This window comes from Homo sapiens, chromosome 4, assembly GCF_000001405.40.
Source record: "Homo sapiens chromosome 4, GRCh38.p14 Primary Assembly".
Lineage (NCBI taxonomy): Eukaryota > Metazoa > Chordata > Mammalia > Primates > Hominidae > Homo > Homo sapiens.
The window spans coordinates 99,097,130-99,116,688 of record NC_000004.12 but is presented as its reverse complement, the minus strand read 5'-3'; the positions used below and the strand labels follow the sequence as shown (position 1 = coordinate 99,116,688).

At 42.0% G+C, this 19,559-nt stretch overlaps 2 long non-coding RNA genes across 2 annotated transcripts in view, besides 1 other annotated feature; both read right to left on the bottom strand.

Moving 5' to 3' along the window:
* The window catches only part of LOC100507053 (uncharacterized), a 212,500-nt gene that overhangs the window by 184,668 nt on the left and 8,273 nt on the right, over positions 1–19,559 (bottom strand). The gene's annotated exons all lie outside the window — the stretch shown is intronic.
* Positions 13,577–14,461, bottom strand: LOC124900739 (uncharacterized). The gene is made up of 2 exons (XR_007058202.1): positions 14,024–14,461; positions 13,577–13,921 (listed from the first exon to the last, which is right to left on the bottom strand). It is a non-coding gene; the product is annotated as an uncharacterized LOC124900739 (long non-coding RNA).
* Positions 17,037–17,331: an enhancer, noted in NCBI's record as "tiled region #12553; K562 Activating DNase matched - State 5:Enh, and HepG2 Activating non-DNase unmatched - State 24:Quies". NCBI's record gives its function as "activates a minimal TATA promoter and a strong SV40 promoter by Sharpr-MPRA in K562 cells, with weaker activation in HepG2 cells {active_cell/tissue: HepG2 | K562}" and the evidence as "EXISTENCE:reporter gene assay evidence [ECO:0000049][PMID:27701403]".

The following is a 19,559-nucleotide window of genomic DNA, read 5'->3' as shown; positions in this document are numbered from 1 at the left end:
CTAGATGGAGAATGACTTCGGTGAATTGAGAGAAGAAGGCTTCAGACGATCAAACCACTCTGAGCTACAGGAGGAAATTCAAACCAAAGGCAAAGAAGTTGAAAACATTGAAAAAAATTTAGATGAATGTATAACTAGAATAACCAATACAGAGAAGTGCTTAAAGGAGCTAACGGAGCTGAAAGCCAAGGCTCGAGTACTACATGAAGAATGCAGAAGCCTCAGGAGCCGATGCGATCAACTGGAAGAAAGGGTATCAGTGATGGAAGATCAAATGAATGAAATGAAGTGAGAAGGGAAGTTTAGAGAAAAAAGAATAAAAAGAAATGAACAAAGCCTCCAAGAAATATGGGACTATGTGAAAAGACCAAATCTACGTCTCATTGGTGTACCTGAAAGTGATGGGGAGAATGGAACCAAGTTGGAAAACACTCTGCAGGATATTATCCAGGAGAATTTCCCCAATCTAGCAAGGCAGGCCAACATTCAGATTCAGGAAATACAGAGAATGCCACAAAGATACTCCTCGAGAAGAGCAACTCCAAGACACATAATTGTCAGATTCACCAAAGTTAAAATGAAGGAAAAAATATTAAGGGCAGCCAGAGAGAAAGGTCAGGTTACCCACAAAGGGAAGCCCATCAGACTAACAGCGGATCTCTCGGCAGAAATTCTACAAGCCAGAAGAGAGTGGGGGCCAATATTCAACATTCTTAAAGAAAAGAATTTTCAACCCAGAATTTCATATCCAGCCAAACTAAGTTTCATAAGTGAAGGAGAAATAAAATACTTTACGGACAAGCAAATGCTGAGAGATTTTGTCACCACCAGGCCTGCCCTAAAAGAGCTCCTGAAGGAAGCACTAAACATGGAAAGGAACAGCCAGTACCAGCCACTGCAAAATCATGCCAAATTGTAAAGACCATCGATGCTAGGAAGAAATTGCATCAACTAACGAGCAAAAAAACCAGCTAACATCATAATGACAGGATCAAATTCACACATAACAATATTAACTTTAAATGTAAATGGACTAAATGCTCCAATTAAAAGACACAGACTGGCAAATTGGATAAAGAGTCAAGACCCATCACCGTGCTGTATTCAGGAAACCCATCTCACGTGCAGAGACACACATAGGCTCAAAATAAAAGGATGGAGGAAGATCTACCAAGCAAATGGAAAACAAAAAAAGGCAGGGGTTGCAATCCTAGTCTCTGATAAAACAGACTTTAAATCAACAAAGATCAAAAGAGACAAAGAAGGCCATTACATAATGGTAAAGGGATCAATTCAACAAGAACAGCTAACTATCCTAAATCTATATGCACCCAATACAGGAGCACCCAGATTCATAAAGCAAGTCCTTAGAGACCTACAGAGAGACTTACACTCCCACACAATAATAATGGGATACTTTAACACCCCACTGTCAACATTAGACAGATCAACGAGACAGAAAGTTAACAAGGATACTCAGGAATTGAACTCAGCTCTGCACCAAGCAGACCTAATAGACATCTACAGAACTCTCCACCCCAAATCAACAGAATATACATTCTTCTCAGCACCACACCACACCTATTCCAAAATTGACCACATAGTTGGAAGTAAAGCTCTCCTCAGCAAATGTAAAAGAACACAAATTATAACAAACTGTCTCTCAGACCACAGGGCAATCAAACTAGAACTGAGGATTAAGAAACTCACTCAAAACTGCTCAACTACATGGAAACTGAACAACCTGCTCCTGAATGACTACTGGGTACATAACAAAATGAAGGCAGAAATAAAGATGTTCTTTGAAACCAACGAGAACAAAGACACAACATACCAGAATCTCTGGGACACATTCAAAGCAGTGTGTAGAGGGAAATTTATAGCACTAAATGCCCACAAGAGAAAGCAGGAAAGATCCAAAATTGACACCCTAACATCACATTTAAAAGAACTAGAAAAGCAAGAGCAAACACATTCAAAAGCTAGCAGAAGGCAAGAAATAACAAAAATCAGAGCAGAACTGAAGGAAATAGAGACACAAAAAACCCTTCAAAAAATTAATGAATCCAGGAGCTGGTTTTTTGAAAAGATCAACAAAATTGATAGACCACTAGCAAGACTAATAAAGAAGAAAAGAGAGAAGAATCAAATAGACGCACTAAAAAATGATAAAGGGGATATCACCACCAATCCCACAGAAATACAAACGACCATCAGAGAATACTACAAACACCTCTACGCAAATAAACTAGAAAATCTAGAAGAAATGGATAAATTCCTCGACACATACACCCTCCCAAGACTAAACCAGGAAGAAGTTGACTCTCTGAATAGACCAATAACAGGATCTGAAATTGTGGCAATAATCAATAGCTTACCAACCAAAAAGAGTCCAGGACCAGATGGATTCACAGCCGAATTCTACGAGAGGTACAAGAAGGAACTGGTACCATTCCTTCTGAAACTATTCCAATCAATAGAAAAAGAGGGAATCCTCCCTAACTCATTTTATGAGGCCAGCATCATCCTGATACCAAAGCCTGGCAGAGACACAAACAAAAAAAAAGAGAATTTTAGACCAATATCCTTGATGAACATTGATGCAAAAAAATATGTGTGTGTGTGTGTGTGTGTGAGAGAGAGAGAGAGAGAGAGAAAGTAAGTGTGGCAAAAAATATTGGTACACCTAGGTGAAGGACATAGAGATGTTTATTGTACTATTTTTCAGATTTTGAAATCTTGAAATTTTTCAAAGTAAAAAGTTGGGTGAAGAAACATGGATGGTTTCCAACTCCAAATGCAATAAAGAAATCACTTTTTAAAATATGTCTGGCAGGTCAGCTAACCTTGGGCTTAACACATACACAGGCCAATTTCTTCCTTATGGCTAAATCTAAGCTCTGCCTTCCTAGTTCTGCTCTCTGGAGTATCACAGAGTAAGCCTAGTCCCTCGGAGAGTTGAAGACAATTGGCATGCCTCTCCCCTACTCTTCCCACTACCACCAAGTCCTCTTTATTCCTAATTAAATGTCTCTAAGTATAACTTAAACTCAATATTCTACATACAGTCTGAATAACATCCTTATTTGGAAAAATATGCCAGTAAATGCAGTCTCTATGTATTCTCTTGCCAGCCATCTCCTATTGTTGACAAATATTGAGCTTTATAAAATTCCTAAATATATCCACTCTGAAATGCTATTAAACCAGACTGCTCTTATTATATAACTTTATTTTTTAATTTTTTTCTTTCATACCTCTTAGGCACTATTATTCTATAACTTTAAACCCAAGGATAGGCCAGGCACGGTGGCTCACACCTGTAATCCCAGCACTTTGGGAGGCGGAGGTGGGCAGATCACAAAGTCAGGAGATCGAGACCATCCTGGCTAACACGGTGAAAACCTGTCTCTACTAAAAATACAAAAAATTAGCCGGGTGTGGTGGCGGGCGCCTGTAGTCCCAGCTGCTCAGGAGGCTGAGGCAGGAGAATGGAGTGAACTTGGGAGGCGGAGCTTGCAGTGAACTGAGATCCCGCCACTGCACTCCAGCCTGGGTGACAGAGTGAGACTCCATCTCAAAATAAAATAAAATAAAATAAAAAACCCAAGGATAGACCATTTATCTTCTCTGAAGTTTCAAGTTCTTTTTGAAAGAAATTATAGGTAAACAAGGTACTTAATAATATAGAAGAAAAACAATATCATCCTATGTTTTGGTATTAAATAACTTTTTATCACTTTCTCCATTTCTGACAATAAAATTATCTTCTATAGACCTGCTTATAATATAGCTAATAAAATTTCAGAAGCTGGCCTTAAAAATAAATCTTTATAATTAACCAAAGAAGTCTGAGAAAAAGGATGTCCCTTCTCCTTGCATCTATGAAAAGAGAAATACAATTCTGCATCATTAACTATTTCAAAAAATCTGATTTGATTAGGTAATAAATTAAGAATGTTCCAAAAAATATCCATTTGTTCTCAGCAATATGGAGCTGTGTGAATATTCATAACTGTTACTAGAACACCTTCTGTTCCTTACTAAAAAGAAATCCATTCTCTGTAAATGTTATTTGAACCAAAATGTCTTATAAGACTCTAAAGTGTTAGAAAGTGTTGCTTTGTCCTATGAAAATAACCTCCAAAAAGAATCTGTAATTCTGATTGTCTTACTGACAAGGTTTTGACCTGGGAAGAATGTTGTAGGAATACATCTCTGTATTTCTAAGCAGTATTTTAGTTTTTCTGCTTAGTTAAAAGAAAGTCATTAGCATTTTCCTTTCCCCCTACATGCATAATGGAGTAATTTAAAGCTTATGCCTTAATTTTTTAAATCTCAGAGTCTGAGTCTATGTTTAATTTATATTAATAAATTCATGGATGATAGTAGAAGTAGAAGCATGACAGAGCCAGAAAACAATTCTATATCCAGAGTAAGTGTTGGTCCCAGTGAGAACAAATTTCTGCCTCCTCCATGATGAAAGAGATCAAATGTGACCAACCTGTCCCATAGAAACTGTCTACTCCCCTTGAGTTATTATACCATACTGGGGACCCAGGGTTGGTGGTGCTACTTCTCAATCTGGTATTCAGCAGTGGCTGAGCTAGAACAGCCTTGACAAGAAAGTATCTATGATGTTGGGTCCATGCTTATATCCACGGCCACTACGTTTACAAGCCCACTGAGCAAGCAGTTGGATGCCCTGCTCAACAACATCCCCAAGGTGGTCATCTTGTTCACCTAATTATTGACAATGTCCTTCAAAATCAGACCTTTTGGTGAGAAGCACATGGAACATAATTTTCCTCACTCAGTGACCATTACAAAAGGTCCATCACACCGCTACTCCAGATTTCCTTGTTACCAATCTTACAATCATATTCCTTCAAAGTCCCTGATCATCTGACCAAATCATAAATTACTACCCATAAGTCAATGTAGATCTTTACTTCAGGTGATTTCATTCCTGTCCAAGAGGGCTCACAGAAATATAATGCTTGAAGTTCTATACCCCAGCAAGATTTTTCCAAGTCTGCCACTATCAACTACCAGGATATTGTGCAGAGCATTTCTAAACCAAGCTATAATTCTCTTCCTGCTCTTTGAACTGCTTATAGGAAATTCCCCCAAGGAGAGGAAGTGAAGGAAGAGTGTGAGTTAACTCTTCCTTCACTTCCTCTCCCAGCACCTTTGGGACCTGCTGGGATCCAGTTTATATATATATGTGTGTGTGTGTGTGTGTGTGTGTGTGTGTGTGTGTGTGTGTGTGTAGTGTATATATATACATATATATACATATATACCTATGTATATATATACGTATATATACATATATACATGTGTATATATACACATATATACCTATGTATATATACGTATATATACATAGGTATATATATACATATATATGTGTATATATATATACGTATATATACAAATATACACAGAGAGAGAGAGAGAGAGAGAGCCCACTCAGATAGCACAGATATATCACTTCCACTTGATAATAGTATTCTCCTGGGCATGTCCAGCCTTATAATTCTGTGGATCAGGTAATACCCAGTTCACAGTGAGAAACTCAGGTAGCACAATCACCTAGTGTGTCTCATAGCCAGGCATTTAATCACAACAGGACTGAAACAAGCATTACTTTGCTCTAAAACTCGAGGTTCTCCATCATGCTTCTATTATTGGACCTTCCCACAGGTTACATTCAACACCTGCCACAGACACTTAAAAACCATTCATTCCCGCCGGGCACGGTGGCTCACACCTGTAACCCCAGCAATTTGGGAGACCGAGGCAGGCAGATCACCTGAGGTCAGGAGTTCAAGACCAGCCTAACCAACATGGAGAAACCTCGTCTCTACTAAAAATACAAAATTAGCCAGGCATGGTGGCGCATGCCTATAATCTCAGCTACTCGGGAGGCTGAGGCAGGAGAATCGCTTGAACCCGGGAGGCAGAGGTTGTGGTGAGCTGAGCTGAGGTAGTGCCATTGCACTCCAGCTTGGGCAACAAGAGCAAAACTTCGTTGCAAAAAAAAAAAAAAAAGAAAAAAGAAAAGAAAAGAAAACCATTTATTCCATAAAAGGAAGGCATCAGAGTTGTTCTTGTGACAATTTAGGCCAGCTAAAGAGACTTCTTCTGCTCTAAGCTCTGCTCAAAGCTGGAAGTCTTTTAAGTTACATTATAAATAGGTGAGAACTCCCCCAAAAGGAGGCTCCCTACACTGATTGCCTATTCATCAGCCATTCCTCATTTCTCCCTTAGAAAGAGAACCCCAATTCTGTTCAAGAAACAGGCAATAATGAGCTCAGGGAAGATGGGACTCTCCCAGTGCTCCAGGAGATGATCCATGATTAGTCTAATTCTATTCCCATTGGTAGTGACTGATTTGGAATGAACATGTGACTCAGTTCTGGTGAATGAGACATAAAAGGAAGTCTGCTGGAGGACTTTTGGGAGCCATTTCCCTCTTTATTAAAAAAAAGCAGGGGAAGGAGTAGGGAAGGGTGAAAAGAAGACTCTTCCCTTCCTGCCCTTGGATGCTGTCATGTAAAAACATGACAGGCCAGAGTTGCAGCAGCTGTCTTGCAACCATGATGGGAAAGACAAGAAAATGGCAGAGAAGCAATCTAGGGCCCTGGCATCACTGAAAAGGAGAATTTATCAACATCCTCTAGACTTTTGGTTGTGTGAGATAATAAATCTTCATTTTTGGGGGGACAACCCCCTTTGGGTCCCCTCCCATTGTATGGGAGCTCTGTTTTCACTCTATTAAATCTTGCAACTGCACACTCTTCTGGTTCGTATTTGTTATGGCTCGAGCTGAGCTTTCACTTGCCGTCCACCACTGTTTGCTGCCATCACAGACCCGCTGTTGACTTCCACCACTCCAGATCCAGCAGGGTGTCCGCTGTGCCCCTGATCCAGTGAGGCATCCATTGCCACTCCCAATCAGGCTAAAGTCTCGCCATTGTTCCTGCGCAGCTAAGTGCCCAGGTTCGTCCTAATAGAGCTGAACACTAGTCGCTGGGTTCCACGGTTCTCTTCCGTGACCCACGGCTTCTAATAGAGTTATAACACTCACCGCATGGCCCAAGGTTCCATTCCTTGGAATCCATGAGGCCAAGAACCCCAGGTCAGAGAACAAAAGGTTTGCTGCCATCTTGGGAGTGGCTCACCACCATCTTGGGAGTGGCCCACCACCATCTTGGGAGTTCTATGAACAAAGATCCACCCGTAATATTCGGTGGCCCGTACGGGGATTCTTCAAAGCGGTGAGTAATAATTTGCTCGCCATTCTGTCCTATCCTTCCTTAGAATTGGAGGAAAATACCAGGCACCTGTCAGCCAGTTAAAAACAATTAGCATGGCCACTGGACTTAAGACTCAGGTGTGAGGCTTCCTGGGAAAAGGCTTTCTAACAAGCCCCAACCCTTCTGGGTTGGGAGCATTGGTCTACCTAGAACCAGCTTTTGCTTTCACAATTTTCCTGGGGAAGCTGAGGGTTGACTAGAGGCAGAAAGCTGTTGTCCCAAACCCCCAGCATTGGATGGTCGAGATTATGGTGCAGCCAGAAGTCTCTACTCAACAGTCGCCCATGCGTGTGCCCCTACCTCTCCTTCTGACCCATACCTCCTGGGTCCCAACCACAACTTTCTTGAAAGTGTAGCCCCAAAATTCTTCTTACTTCTGAATCTACTTCCTCTGATCCCTGCCTCCTAGATACTAATGCTTCAGACTTTCACTTCCTCTCCCAAGTATTAGAGCAAGTTGTATCTCTAAAGGGATCTAAGGAAGCTCTACGCTGTGTCCTTGGGCACCTAGGCTATGAATCCAGGGAGTTTTATCCCTGGTGTTCCTCCCAATTTAGGCATGCAGCTCTCGACATGGGCAGTTATGTGGGACCCGTTCCCCACCACCCTTGCCAGGGCCTTAGAACTGATAACCCAGTACTTTAACAACTGGAACTGGGTCTACAACATAATATATCAAGATGAAAATGAATTGAGTAAATTAAAGGGAGGCACATATTCCTATAGCGGCAAATGGGGGCAACAAGTGAACGACCCTCCACTGTGTTTCCAAAATCCACCTACAGAGACAGAGAGGAGAGAGACAGAGAGAGACAGAGAGGTGGGGGTGGTGGGTAAGAGAGGCAGAGAGAGAAAGAAAGAGAAAGACAGAAGTAGTAAAGAAAAAACAGTGTGCCCTATTCCTTTAAAAGCCAGAGTAAATTTAAAACCTATAATTGATAATTGAAGGTCTTCTCTGTGACCCTATAACACTCGATACTACCTTGTTGTCAGTGTAAACAAGGGCGTAGCCTGAAAACACTGAGACCACTAACAACTCGTAGCCTTCCTATCAAAAATCTTTAACCCAGTAACCTGCGGATGGCCCAAATGCATTCAATCTGTAGTGGCAACTGTTTTGCTAACAGAAGAAAGTAGAAAAATAACTTTTAGAGAAAACCTCATTGTGAACACACCTCACCAGTTCAGAACTATCCTAAGTCAAAAAAAAAAAAAAAAAAACAAAGCCAAAAGGTAGCTTACTAACTCAAAAATCTTAAAGTGTAGGACTATTCTGTTAGAAAAAGATGATTTAACATTAACCACTGAAATTTCCCTTAACCCAGCAGATTTCCTAAAAAGGGATTTAAATCTTAATTACCATACGAAGGTCCCACCAGACCTAGGAGGAACTCCCTTCAGAACAGGACAATAGATGGTTCCTCCCAGGTGATGGAGAAAAAAAACCACAATGGGTATTCAGTAATTGATAGGGAAACTCTTGTAGAAGCAGAGTTAGAAAAATTGCCTAATAATTGGTCTGCTCAAACGTATGAGCCCTTTGCACTCAGCCAAGCCTTAAAGTACTTACAGAATCAAAAAACTCCATCTCAATCCTGACTCAAAGGTTACCTACACCCTCTCTGAAATGAATTTGCATAAGAACTGTTGTTTATGGGAATGCATCTTGATGGGGCAACTGGGTTGTTATGAAATACTCAGGAACCCAGCCTAGCTCTAGGACTCACCCCTGAGCACAAAGGCAATGTTGGGCACACTGGTAAAGGACCACTAGAATCCAGCAGCCTGGACCCCTTTCTTTGTGGTCAAGAAAGGCGGGAAAAGGGGTGCAGGACTGCTACATCAGTGAATGTTAACTAATCCGATAAGCAGATGTCCATGGGTGGTTATGCACCCTGGAAAGGAATAAGCATTAGGACCATAGAGGACGCTGTAGGACTAAGGCTCATCAGAAAATGACTAGGGGTGCTGGCATCCCTATGTTCTTTTTTCAGATGGGAAATGTTCCCCCCAAGGCAAAAAAGCTCCTAAGATATATTCTGGAGAATTTGGCCCAGTCAGAGTGCACGTAACTCTTTCCCTCTCAGACTTGAAACAAATTAAAATAGACCTAGGTAAATTCTCAGATAACCCTGATGGCTACATTGATGTTTTACAAGGGTTAGGACAATCCTTTGATCTGTCATGGAGAGATATAATGTTACTGCTAGATCAGACACTAACCCCAAATGAGAGAAGTGCCACCATAACTGCAGCCCAAGAGTTTGGCAATCTCTGGTATCTCAGTCAGGTCAATGATAGGATGACAACAGAGGAAAGGGAATGATTCCCCACAGGCCAGGAGGCAGTTCCCAGTGTAGACTCTCACTGGGACGCTGAATTAGAACATGGAAATTGGTGCCACAGACATTTGCTAACTTGCATGCTAGAAGGACTAAGGAAAACTAGGAAGGAGCCTATAAATCATTCAATGATGTCCACTATAACACAGGGAAAGGAAGAAAATCTTACTGCTTTTCTGGAGAGACTAAGGGAGGCATTGAGGAAGCATATCTCTCCGTCACCTGACTCTACTGAAGGCCAACTAATCTTAAAGGATAAGTTATCACTCAGTCAGTTGCACACATTAGAAAAAATTTCAAAAGTCTGCCTTAGGCCTGGAGCAAAACTTAGAAACCCTATTGGCAACCTCGATTTTTTTATAATAGAGATCAGGAAAAGCAGGTGAAATGGGAAAACTGGGATAAAACAAAAAAGGCCACCCACTGCTTTAGTCGTGGCCCTCAGGCAAGTAGACTTTGGAGGCTCTGAAAAAGGGAAAGCCTGGGCAAACTGAATGCCTAATAGGGCTTGCTTCCAGTGCGGTCTACAAGGACACTTTCAAAAAGATTGTCCGAATAGAAATAAGCCACCCCCTCGTCCATGCCCCTTATGTCAAGGGAATCACTGGAAGGCCCACTGCCCCAGGGGATGAAGGTCCTCTGAGTCAGAAGCCACTAACCAGATGATCCAGCAGCAGGACTGAGGGTTTCCAGGGCAAGTGCCAGCCCATGCCATCACCCTCACAGAGGCCCGGGTATGCTTGACCATTGAGGGCCAGGGCGTTAACTGTCTCCTGGACACTGGCGTGAACTTCTCAGTCTTACTCTCCTGTCCTGGACAACTGTCCTCCAGATCTGTCACTATCTGAGGGGTCCTAGGACAGCCAGTCACTAGATACTTCTCCCAGCCACTAAGTTGTGACTGGGGAACTTTACTCTTTTCACATGCCTTTCTAATTATGCCTGAAAGCTCCACTTCTTTGTTAGGGAGAGACATCCTAGCAAAAGCAGGGGTCATTATACCCTAGAATTAGGAGAAGGAAAAAGGGTAAATATATATACAGACTCTAAGTATGCTTACCTAGTCCTCCATGCCCACGCAGCAATAAGGAGAGAAAGGGAATTCCTAACTTCCAAGGGAACACCTATCAAACATCAGGAAGCCATTAGGAGATTATTATTGGCAGTACAGAAACCTAAAGAGGTGGCAGTCTTACACTGCCGGGGTCATCAGAAAGGAAAGGAAAGGGAAATAGAAGGGAACTGCCAAGCAGATACTGAAGCAAAAAGAGCCGCAAGACAGGACCCTCCATTAGAAAAGCTTATAGAAGGACCCCTAGTATGGGGTAATCCCCTCCAGGAAACCAAGCCCCAGTACTCAGCAGAAGAAATCGAATGGGGAAACTCACAAGGACATCGACATCGTTTCCTCCCCTCAGGATGGCTAGCCACCGAAAAAGGAAAAATACTTCTGCCTGCAGCTAACCAATGGAAATTACTTAAAACCCTTCACCAAACCTTTTACTTAGGCATTGATAGCACCCATCAGATTGCCACATCATTATTTACTGAACCAGGCCTTTTCAAAACTATAAAGCAGATAGTCAGGGCCTGTGAAGTGTGCCAAAGAAATAATCCCCTGCACTTCAGGCCATACATTTCAATCCCTGTATCTTTAACCTCCTTGTTAAGTTTGTCTCTTCCAGAATCGAAGCTGTAAAACTGCAAACAGTTCTTCAAATGGACCCCCAGATGCAGTCCATGACTAAGACCTACCACGGACCCCTGGACCGGCTTGCTAGCCCATGCTCTGATGTTAATGACATCGAAGCCACCCTTTCCAAGGAAATCTCAACTGCACAACCCCTACTATGCCCCAATTCAGCAGGAAGCAGTTAAGAGTGGTTGTCGGCCAACCTTGCCAACAGCACTTGGGCTTTCCTGTTGACGGGGGGACTGAGAGACAGGACTAGCTGGATTTCCTAGGCCGATTAAGAATTCCTAAGCCTAGCTGGGAAAGGTGACCGCACCTACCTTTAAACACAGGGCTTGTAACTCAGCTCACACCCAACCAATCAGGTAGTAAAGAGGGCTCGCTAAAATACAAATTAGGCTAGAGCAGAAGGTAAAGACACAGTCAAATCATATATCGCCTGAGGGCACAGGGGGAGGGACAATGATTGGGATATAAACTCCAGGCATTCGAGCCGGGAGTGGGCAACCTCCTTTCAGGGGCAACCCCCTTTGGGTCCCCTCCCATTGTATGGGAGCTCTGTTTTCACTCTATTAAATCTTGCAACTGCAAAATAATAATAATAATAATAAATCTTCATTTTTTAAGCCTCTTTTACTCAAATTTCTATTATTTTCAGGCAAAACAATCTAATTGATACATATGGTACCTCCACTGCCACCTCCAAAAATTGCAGTAGATCAGACAATACTATTTTCCAAACTACTCCAGCTACCTGTCATAGTGATCATGCCTACCTGGCTTCTCCTGCCTCACTACTTAGCCTCTACCACCCCAGTATCTGGTATCCTGGTTGAAATCAGGAAGCCCATCTCAACCAAAGCATCCCCTGCCAACCTACAGGGAAAAATGAACCATAGCCCTCCCCCTTGACAATTTATTTCTCAATCCCTTGTTGGAAAGTTTATTTTCTGGGCTTCTCTCAAGGAACATAGTATGGGGGTTAGGTAAGCACGTAGCACATGAAAAATTCCTCCCTACATTCCTCTCTCTGTGTCCTTGTATTCCTTCCTTTATATTATCTAAAGAAATATCTGGCATCTCAACTTCATTGAACATGGATCATTTTTGAGCTTGGATTTCTATCTATAAATAGAACAAACAATTTTAACTTCTAATGTTTTTTGAGCTAGTGTGATCAATACAGAATTTCTAATAAAGGCACCCATCATGACCCATTTAGCCTGATCTAAAATTATGCCCTTCCCCACTTGCCCTAGCACCCACAGAATTCATTTTCGCAAGAGTTGGTCAGAGTTTGGTCAGCATTCATCAGCAAAATATAATACATATTATTTTGGTATTTAACACTTCTCCTTCCAACTTGCCCCCTTACTGCTTAGTCTGACTATAATTATAGGCCTGAAGACAATGAGAGATGGAAGTGAATAGGACATGAGGAAATTGGCTTCCCCTTACAGGGACGCTGCTCAGCCAAGGTCCTTATATGTCCTCAAATCAAGCAGTGACATCCTCATCAGACAGGCAAAAGAAAATGTTTCAGTAGGCAAAGAAAGATCAGTGGAGACTGGGAGTTCAGGATAATCTGAGGGACATTTGAATCTTTCAATATATACCCATTATAGTATTTGAGATCCTATTATTTCCCAGTCAATGCCCTGGTTTTCACCTAAGAGATCTTTTGTGTTCCTATGAATTTAATCAGTGTTACAGCTGGAAACCTACAGGATCAAATTTTTAATTTGGCTTCTGGCTAGTTTAACCTTATGGCTTCAAGAAATTATGTCATAAAACATCCTTAGGTTTCAGTTTATACCATGAGCCAAGAACCTGAAATTTTAAGCTTACCATTCTCCTTAACTAAACTGCCCAACACTTTAATGAAGTAACCACCTACCTTACAGACTTTAAATAGCTCATGCACTTTAATATTCTTCCATGGCAATAACCCTATTGTCTCTAAGGCCTTGCCTTTAATTCTTATTTCCTTTCAGGAAGTCAGAGGTTTTTTTTTTATTATTAACTGTTCCACTCCTGCATGTCTAGAGCTGCTCCACCCTTAGAGTCATCTGAATTATCACTGCCTTCAGCCTAAACCAGGTCAGAAAATTAATCCCAGATTGACCCATTTCCCTGGTGGTCTGTTTTCTAGTAATAGTCCAGGTATTTTTTTTTTTTTATTGATTTCATTGCAAGTCACAGAAATCAATTCGGAATTATTTTAAATGATAAGTCATTTATTTAAAGGATATCATGTAGGTCATAGAATTATTAGGAGGATTAGAGATATACAGCTTGAAATTATGTCTAATCTGAGGCAGCAAAACTGATCTGGTCACCATTTTCCTTATCCTTGTACCTCAGAGGCTGCAAACTGAATCACCAATACCACTCCTGGACACAGGATACCACCACTGGCTTGGCTGCCATTGCTGCCCCAATGAATTAATCATGCTTGCAACAACTTCACCAGAGAGTCCCTCCGCAGTCCACAGCTTTCAACTTGAGGTCTTGGACACATACTTCTTTGGTGGCATCTGAGTCACATGTGTATTACCTGGCTGCGAAGAAATATTTTCAGACTCATAAGATGGAGAATACCCCAATGTCAGTTATCAAAATAATTTTAAAAAATCCACCATAAACTTCCTTTATAAACTCACTGGTTATGGTTTTGGTTTTGGTTTTTCCTGAACTGAACGAAATCTTGGACAGATTTCATAGCTCTTCCAGTGAATTTTAGATATAAAGAAAAAAGTATAGACCAGTCTAAAGAAATATTTCATCCAATTAAAACTTCTCGCCTCTCTCCTCTCCCAACTCAGGTCTGCTTCAAACCAGCAAATCCACCCTGGTGAAGGAGTGAGGAGTCTGCTTCTTCTTGCTTCTCTGCTCCATCTCTTCTACCACTTGCCAGCTACTGTTTCAAGCCTCCTCCATTGTCCAGCCTAGAAGAGAGGGGAAACCTGGAGAAAAAGACTACATTGCATATGGCCAGTACAGTTGCGATCTGATATTGGTGCTCTACATTGCATATGGCCAGTACAGTTGCAATTTGATATTGGTGCCCTACCTTTTAGATACTACGTTTTTTGGTTTTTTCTTTTTTTTTTTTTTTTTTTTTTTTTTTTTTTTTTTTTTGAGACGGAGTCTCGCTCTGTCGCCCAGGCCGGACTGCGGACTGCAGTGGCACGATCTCGGCTCACTGCAAGCTCCGCTTCCCGGGTTCACGCCATTCTCCTGCCTCAGCCTCCCGAGTAGCTGGGACTACAGGCGCCCGCCACCGCGCCCGGCTAATTTTTTGTATTTTTAGTAGAGACGGGGTTTCACCTTGTTAGCCAGGATGGTCTCGATCTCCTGACCTCATGATCCACCCGCCTCGGCCTCCCAAAGTGCTGGGATTACAGGCGTGAGCCACCGCGCCCGGCCGGTTTTTTTTTTTTGAGTTGGGGGATTTCTGTGGGTTTCACAAAGAACTCCTCCTCTATTAGAGAACTCCTCCTCTATTAGAGATCTCCTATCTCAATTCTTTTATAAGGATGATTCTTTCCACAACTGGCCATTTAAGACCTGCATTCAGTCCTTGGCTTTCACCAGGGTGACCTTCACTATCCATCTGTGCATCTATCTCTTTCGTGAAGTTCTTTTCCCGATGATCCACAACCGTATCCTTTCCAGAGTCTGTATTTGGTCCATGAAAAATACACTTGTATCCTTGTTCCCACTAAACTGTTCTACTTCATTCTGCCAACAGACAGGCTGTTCTAGCTAGATGTTACTATTTGAATGTTCCCTCCAAAACTATGGGGAAATTTAATTGCCATTGTGATAGTGTTAAGAGGAGGAATCTTTAAGAGGTTATTAGAAGCAGGGCAGGGTGGCACACGCCTGTAGTCCCAGCTACTCAGAAGTCTAAGGCAGGAGGATCACTTGAGCCCAGGAGTTCTAGGCTGCAGTGAGCTACAATCACCACAGCACTCCAGACTGTGTGACAGAGCGAGATGCTGTCTCAAAAAAATAAAAATAAAAGGTGATTAGAGGATGAGGGCTCTGCTCTCATGAATGAATTAATGCTGTTATCTCAGGTATTCTGTTATACCAGCAGAAAGTAGAGTAAGACAGCAGCTTCTTGCCTTAATTTTTTTTTTCTTTCACATACCAGAACTTGAATTTTCTAGATTCCAGAGAAAACATTTCAAGCTTTCTGAGCAGTTTTCTTCTCTTGGCTTCAGATGAAGGGGAAGTACTTTCACCACCCTCACTGTGGAGATGGGAAGGGCAAACACAGCATACTGACAACTATCTCCAAAGAAATCTTCACTTCCAAATACTTCCACCCTTCCCCATGAATTCTTTGCCTCACCTTATATAGATGAGAGACAGGAGATAGGCTAATGCTGGCAGAAGCGATTTCTCTATCTCTTAGCATGTCCTACATAAGGTGGTCTAGCCCCTTGCTTTAGAATGTGGAGGTAATTTGGTGTCTGTATAGCTTGGTCTTGAGTTCTTAGCTAAATTGAGATCATATGTAAAGTCCCATTTAAATTTCCTGTTATGTTTAATCATGAAATCATACCTTGTATTTCTCCAACCTGTCAAATTCTCCATAATATCAAGGAAAACATATGATCCGGTTACTTACAACTATGGATAACTTACAACAAATCATTACCTACAAAAATATAAAAGAAATGTACTGCTTCAGAATTGTAGAGCTGCCCTCAGGAGTCTCTGACCTCCCTATACTGTGATATGTGTTGGTCTTGAAAAGTAACAGGAAAAATTACACAATGCTATTGAGATCTACAGCTACAAACTAAATGTCTACCTTATTTTTATGTCAGGTGTATATGTGTTTCCCAAGAGGAAAAGAGTTTGTTGGGTAGCTTTGGTACCTCTCAGTATGGAATCTCAGTATTTAGAATTAGTTCTACCACTTCTGACTCCTTCATGTTTAACCCATCTGTGACTGCCTCCACTATGGACAATTTCTGTTTCAATTCACAGGAGCTATGGCAATAGCTGTCTCTACTCTAACGGAGTACGTAGCCAAGCAATGTCAACTAGTGCTGAGAGGTTAAAAAAAGAAAAAAAAAGTTTCCCTCAATATGAAGCAGACACATATGGTTTTATGAATTCTTCCTTCAATTCATCCAGTATGTATCTTTCTTTCTTGTAAGTTTTATAAAATATGCTTCAAATTTTTGAAATGTTTGACTATGTTTACTGCATAATCACCTCCCTGTAACAAAGTCTGAAATGATGAATCACTTTCACTTAGTGAGTCCCTCAGTCCAAAATAATCCTTACTTAAGAGTAAAAATTAGGGGGTGGAGCCAAGATGGCTGAATAGGAACAGCTCCAGTCTACAGCTCCCAGCGTGAGTGACACAGAAGACGAATGATTTCTGCATTTCCAAATGAGGTACCAGGTTCATCTCACTGGGGACTGTCGGACAGTGGGTGCAGGACAGTGGGTGCAGCACACTGAGCGTGAGCTGAAGCAGGGCGAGGCATTGCTTCACCCGGGAAGCACAAGGGGTCAGGGAATTCCCTTTCCTACCCAAGGAAAGGGGTGACAGATGGCATCTGGAAAATCAGGTCACTCCTACCCTAATACTGCCCTTTTCCAATGGTCTTAGCAAACGGCACAACAGGAGATTGTATCCTGTGCCTGGCTCGGAGGGTCCTATGCCCACGGAGACTCGCTCATTGCTAGCACAGCAGTCTGCAATCAAACTGCAAGGCAGCAGCGAAGTGGGGGGAGGGTTGACCGCCATTGCCGAGGCTTGAATAGGTAAACAAAGCCTCCGGGAAGCTCGAACTGGGTGGAGCCTACCGCAGCTCAAGGAGGTCTGCCTGCCTCTGTAGACTCCATCTCTGGGGGCAGGGCATAGACAAACGAAAGGCAGCAGAAACCTCTACAGACTTAAATGTCCCTGTCTGACAGCTTGGAAGAGAGTAGTGGCTCCCCCAGCATGCAGCTTGAGATCTGAGAATGGACGGACTGCCTCCTAAAGTGGGTCCCTGACCTCTGAGTAGCCTGTGAGGTACCCCCCAGTAGGGGCAGACTGACACCTCACACGGCCGGGTACCCCTCTGAGATAAAACTTCCAGAGGAACAATCAAACAGCAACATTTGCTGCTCACCAATATCTGCTGTTCTGCAGCCTCTGCTGCTGATACCCAGGCAAACAGGGTCGGAGTGGACCTCTAGCAAACTCCAACAGACCTGCAGCTGAGGGTCCTGACTGTTAGAAGGAAAACTAACAAACAGAAAGGACATCCACACCAAAACCCCATCTGTACCTCACCATCATCAGAGACCAAAGGTAGATAAAACCACAAAGATGGGGAAAAAACAGGGCTGAAAAACTGAAATTCTAAAAATCAGAGCACCTCTCCTCCTCCAAAGGAATGCAGCTCCTCATCAGCAATGGAACAAAGCTGGACGGAGAATGACTTTGACGACCTGAGAGAAGAAGGCTTCAGATGATCAAACTTCTCCAAGCTAAAGGAGAAGTTTGAACCTATGGCAAAGAAGTTAAAAACATAGAAAAAAGATTAGACAAATGGCTAACTAGAATAACCAATGCAGAGAAGTCCTTAGCCGATTCGATCAAGTGGAAGGAAGGGTATCAGTGATGGAAGATCAAATGAATGAAATGAGGCGAGAAGAGAAGTTTAGAGAAAAAACAATAAAAAGAAATGAACAAAGCCTCCAAGAAATATGGGACTATGTGAAAAGACCAAATCTACATCTGATTGGTGTACCTGAAAGTGACAGGGAGAATGGAACCAAGTTGGAAAACACGCTGCAGGATATTATCCAGGAGAACTTCCCCAACCTAGCAAGACAGGCCAACATTCAAATGCAGGAAATACAGAGAATGCTACAAAGATACTCCTCGAGAAGAGCAACTCCAAGACACATAATTGTCAGATTCACCAAAGTTGAAATGATGGAAAAAATGTTAAGGGCAGCCAGAGAGAAAGGTCAGGTTACCCACAAAGGGAAGCCCATCAGACTAACAGCTGATCTCTCGGCAGAAACTCTACAAGCCAGAAGAGAGCGGGGGCCAATATTCAACATTCTTAAAAGAATTTTCAACCCAGAATTTCATATCCAGCCAAACTGAGCTTCATAAGTGAGGGAGAAATAAAATCCTTTACAGACAAGCAAATGCTGAGAGATTTTGTCACCACCAGGCCTGCCCTAAAAGAGCTCCTGAAGGAAGCACTAAACATGGAAAGGAACAACCAGTACCAGCCACTGCAAAAACAGGCCAAAGTGTAAAGATCATCGATGCTAGGAAGAAACTGCATCAATTAACGAGCAAAATAACCAGCTAACATCATAATGACAGGATCAAATTCACACATAACAATATTAACCTTAAATGTAAATGGGCTAAATGCTCCAATTAAAAGACACAGACTGGCAAATTGGATAAAGAGTCAAGACCCATCACCGTGCTGTATTCAGGAAACCCATCTCACGTGCAGAGACACACATAGGCTCAAATAAAAGGAAGATCTACCAAGCAAATGGAAAACAAAAAAAGGCAGGGGTTGCAATCCTAGTCTCTGATAAAACAGACTTTAAACCAACAAAGATCAAAAGAGACAAAGATGGCCATTACATAATGGTAAAGGGATCAATTCAACAAGAACAGCTAACTATCCTAAATATATATGCACCCAATACAGGAGCACCCAGATTCACAAAGCAAGTCCTTAGAGACCTACAAAGAGACTTACACTCCCACGTAATAATAATGGGAGACTTTAACACCCCACTGTCAACATTAGACAGATCAATGAGACAGAAAGTTAGCAAAGATATCCAGGAATTGAACTCAGCTCTGCACCAAGCAGACCTAATAGACATCTACACAACTCTCCACCCCAAATCAACAGAATATACATTCTTCTCAGCACCACATCCCACTTATTCCAAAATCGACCACATAGTTGGAAGTAAAGCACTCCTCAGCAAATGTGAAAGAACAGAAATTATAACAAACTGTCTCTCAGACCACAGGGCAATCAAACTAGAACTGAGGATTAAGAAACTCACTCAAAACTGCTCAACTACATGGAAACTGAACAACCTGCTCCTGAATGACTACTGGGTACATAATGAAATGAAGGCAGAAATAAAGATGTTCTTTGAAACCAATGAGAACAAAGACACAAC